This window comes from Homo sapiens, chromosome 22 (genome assembly GCF_000001405.40).
Source record: "Homo sapiens chromosome 22, GRCh38.p14 Primary Assembly".
Classification (NCBI taxonomy): Eukaryota; Metazoa; Chordata; class Mammalia; order Primates; family Hominidae; genus Homo; species Homo sapiens.
In genome coordinates, this window is record NC_000022.11 from 47,244,082 (window position 1) to 47,248,738 (window position 4,657).

A 4,657-nucleotide genomic window follows, 5' to 3' on the forward strand; every position below is an offset into this window, starting at 1 on the left:
TGGCTAATTGCAGTTCACCTGTGAATTCAACTGTTCTGAGAATGAAGTCAAACATCTCCCACCCTGCCTCCATCCCCAGGACGGTCCTGGAATCTGGAATCTAAACATCATGAGACTACAAGAGCTCTATCTGCTTTCTGGCCTCACCCGTCTTTGCCTCTTACTTAGAATTGTCTGAGATTATAGTAGAATTGTCGAGTAATAGGGATTATTTTTATTTTATAGGCTCTTTCAAATTCCACTCTGTCATTTAAGCCTACAGTGCTAAAATGTTCAGCTGGTTTCTCCTTGAGCTTGTAGCCTCCTTGCCTGTGCCAGGCTCATGCCTCCGCCCACCCAGCTCCCAGCCTTGGTAACCATCCTAGATGTGTTGGCAGACATTGGTCTCTGCTCACCTATGAAGGCCTTGTATTTATTTGGAATTTGGTTCATTTAGACTTCTCTGCATTTATAGCTCTTTGAAGGCTTACTATTATGATTTTGTTGTTTATATGGTGTTTTCTTGCTGTCATGGTGAAGTAATGATCTTTATCTTCTAAATCCTCACTAGAAGCAGAACTCTGCTGCAAACATAGTTTCTGGTGTATTGCTGACAAATGGGAGACATCACTAAAGGGAAAATTAGGACAAAGAAACCTCCTAAGCATTTATAGAGCTTCAGTATGAGCCCTAAGTGTGTGGAGAACATTTGTCTCAAGAGCTGCTATTTGGAGGGTGGGGCTTGAGTCCCCAGCAAGGCGAAGGAGTTGAACTCAACCCTTCCTCAGCAGCCTGAGGCCTTAAGGGGATATTGTGATCCTAGGTCCGAATCAACCCCAGGGTACTGGAAGAAGAAAACCAAATCCTTCTTGGAGGAATGCACCCTCAATGTAAGCCTTCAGGACACCCATAGATTAAGATCAACAGAATATGAGCTCATAATGAAGATTTTACCAACACACCAGGAAACACTGCCATGATAGAGTCAGCAAAAATAACAAGCACAGATTTAGACCCCCAAGGAGTTCATGTACTGGAGTTGTCAGATACAGAATGTAAAATGCAGATGCATAAAATATTTTAGAAGTGGAAGCCGGAATCTGCCCATGGGGGAAACCCCCTGACTGAGGGGATTCTGCACAGGCAGGAGTGACTGTGGTCCTAGGTGACCTGGAAGGTTCCAAGGAGGTTACCTAGGGAGGAAGAAGGTTTTTGGAGGTTACTTCGGGAACCTAAGGGAAGAGATTACCTAAGAAATTATCTAGGGAGGAGGTTACCTAGGAAGAAGATTCCAGGAGGTTACTTAGGGAGGAGGTTACCTAGAGAAGACATTACCTAAGAAATTATCTAGGTAGGAGGGTACCTGGGAGGAGGTACCTAGGAGGAGCTTACCTAGGGAGGGTGTTACTCAGGAGGAGGTTACCTAGGGAGGAAGCTAGGGGGAACCTCCCCAGATTCCCCCAGCAGGTGTCTCCAGTCCTCAGGTAAGCTGGGAGGATCACACGAAGACCATCCAGTCCAAACATTCAATTTTACACATCAGGAGACTGAGGCCTGAGAGGTGAAGGACTCACTCAAGGCCTATTCCTCACTGTGGTAGGACCCAAACGGTGCTCTCCTGACCCCCAAGGGCCCATGGGTTTCCCAGGGCTGGGAGGCCCTGAAGCCCTGTGACGGCCTTGGGACACAGAGGTCAAGCAGGACCATGCAGAATCTGAAGGCAGGCAGTGTTCCAGGACAGGAGCTGTCAGAAATGTCGAGTGCTGCTGAGCTGCCAGAGAAACCCTCTTTAGAAATGGAGGTCTTCCATGGCTTTCCACTGCTTATGGAATGAACCCAGGCTGTCCCAAGGCTCATGGGTCCCATGGGATCCGGCCCCTGCCCACATCTCCAGCGAGTCCTCCTAGGGGCCAGTGCTGGGCAGATTCACTTCCTTTGAGGTTGTTGGACCTGTTTGGTTTTCACATATGAACACGTACGACAATGACCAAGCCACAGCTTCAGCGAAGCCATTGCAAATACTTGCCACTGATGTTCTGTGGGGCATGGAAGGGAGCGGGGGTTCCTCAAACTCCAGAGAACTAAAGACACTTCCCAGAAGAAGGGAGGTCAGTGTGGGGTGGAGTGTGGGAAACTTGGCTCTGCCATTTTTACCAGTGTCATCTTCGGCAAGTCAGGTAATCTCCATGCACTTGGTTTCTCCATCAAGTGGAATAATGAGACCTTTTGCACTGTTCTGAATTAGAAGTAAGGTCACTAAAGCTGCTTGCACAATCTCGAGCCCTGATACTGTCATTTCAGCCATCGTAATGATAACAACACTATTTTATTCTATTGTTTTATTTGATGCTCACGGCTCCTGTGAGGGGAGTACAGGTGAGTCTTGATGGTTTCTACTTTACAATGAGAAGTCTGAGGCACAGAGAAGAGTTCAGTGTGCAAACTGTGCCCAGAAAGGGCTGTGACTAACTACAAAGACATGCAGCCAACCTGGGGCAGAAGCTAACTGCTAACTGGAGACCTGGAGTCACTGGGTCCTGGTGCCGCCTCTCTCCTCCAGGGGTGCTGTGTGTGTGTGTGTGTGTATGTGTGTGTGTGTGTGTGTGTGTGTGTGTGTGTGGTCTGTCCCGAGCCAGCCATAATGTAGGACCCTGAGTTCTGGGAGGCAGCACCAGGGAACACGTCAGTCCGAGCACCCAGGAGATGGGGTTGTCTTCTAAGCCACATCGACAGGAAGAATCCCAGAGGCGGCACTGGAAGGATGTTGTCTCTGTGGCCAAACTCAGCCCTGGTTTTGTTGGGACTCAGTGATTCATTTAGGACAGATGGTGTCATGGCCGGCTTAGGTGGCTGTCATTGCATGAGAATGTGACCAAGACAGCACCATCAGGAGAAAGAGTTTTACCTGAACAGTAAGAGTAGATGTGAGGCTGAGTGCCTGCTTAGGAGGGGAGCTTTGGGCTGGCTGGTCAACCTGCAGTGCCTGTCAGTGGTGAAATGGGAAGGCCGCTCAGACACAGCTGATAGGAGGTGTGAACCTGGCCCTGGGGGAGAAGAACTTGGAAAAGCAGGGCTCAGGGCAGGGAGCACTTTCTCCTCCTCCGCACCAGCTCCGAGTCTGATTTATTTCTGCAGAATTGCGTTAGAGGGATGAGCTGTACCGAATGACCAAGCAGCGGGTGTGCCGAGATTCGGGGCCATCCTGGACTTCCAAATGGCCTGTGCTCTGAATAGACCTTTTGTTCGGTGTGGCAGTAATGAAGGAGGGGAATTGGCAGCAGATGCCCAGAAAGGGCTGTGACTAAGTGTCCATTATAAGTGGAGCAGTTTAATAAAAAAATCCATGTAATTTATTTGAATAAAAATATGTGTTCTTTCACAAGCCCATTCTCTCCCCAGTCTTTCCACATTAATAGATCATTAATACTCCATGAATGGGTAATCATCTTCTTGGAAAACAAATGCAAGGGCATAAAAGGAAAATTATGGTCGTTTAAACTTAAAAAAAAGGATTGTTGGGGGAAGGAAGAGCTGTGTTCACAAAAACAGCCAGCTCCTGTCGCCGGCTTTGGGAGTGGGAAGGTCTGTGGATCTGCACCAGGGGACTCACGGTGGACAGAGCCTGGGTACTCACTGCACACCCCGGCCTGCGGAGGGTGCCCTAGGTCCACTGCAGCAGGGGGCCACCCACAAAGGGCTTGATACAAGGTCAGCTGTCCTGAGCAGGTCCCACCAGGGCAGGTCCAGGTGAGCAGATCTGGGTGAGCAGGTCTGGGTGAGCAGGTCTGGATGAGCAGGTCCAGGAGAGCAGGTCCAGGTGAGCAGACACAGGTGAGCAGGTCCGGGTGAGCAGGTTCAACAGGAGGGAACCCCAGGATGGGATGCATCGCCACAGACCAAATATCTGGAGGGTGTCCCGGAGAACCTGTGCTTTTTTGGAATTCCCTTGTTGCAGCTGCACCTGGGCCCTGCTGCTCATGCTCTGTCCGTCCAAATGGCCTCCTTTTGGCTTTCGAACCCCACAGTGGGAGAGGACCCAGCCTTGGACCTGATGCCCTGCCCACCTCTTGCTGGAAGACTTCCTTGAATCCGACCCTTTTGAACAATTCAGCAACTTCAGATGAGACTTCCTCCTTTAGAGTCTCCATTTCCTCGTCTGTAACCTAAGGTGGTTGGACTGTGCGATACATTTGTTCATTGTTCATTCACTCACTGATTCCACAATCACAGCAGGCTGTGAAGTGAGCAGCAGGCTCTGCTCTTGTGTGGCTTCTCTGTAGCTGTGGCTTTCACGAGAGAATGGATAATGTTTGAGGTGAGGGAGAAAATGGGAAATCCAGCCTTTTGACGGCTATTTGGAACATCGGGTGTTTGCAGTTCCAGCCACATGTCGTGAGCTTCCCATGAGCTCTGCATTTTGACAAAGAAATGGTTTCTTGAGCATTTATCATCACTACCTGCATCTTGAGCTGAGCCATTGATATGGTTAGGCTTTTTGTCCCCATCCAAATCTCATCTTGAATTGTAATCCCCATAATCCCCACATGTCAAGGGAGAGATGAGGTGGAGGTAATTGAATCATGAGGGTGTCTTCCCCCATGCTGTTCTCATGATAGTGAGTGAGTTCTCAGAGACCTGATGGTTTTATAAGAGACTCCTCCCCCTTCACTTAGCACTT

The 4,657-nt window shown here is 49.3% G+C and overlaps 1 annotated feature.

The window, feature by feature from the left end:
• Positions 3,764-4,263: an enhancer, noted in NCBI's record as "H3K4me1 hESC enhancer chr22:47643595-47644094 (GRCh37/hg19 assembly coordinates)". NCBI's record gives its function as "activates a minimal SCP1, AML or CMV promoter by ChIP-STARR-seq in primed H9 embryonic stem cells {active_cell/tissue: H9 hESC(primed)}" and the evidence as "EXISTENCE:reporter gene assay evidence [ECO:0000049][PMID:30033119]".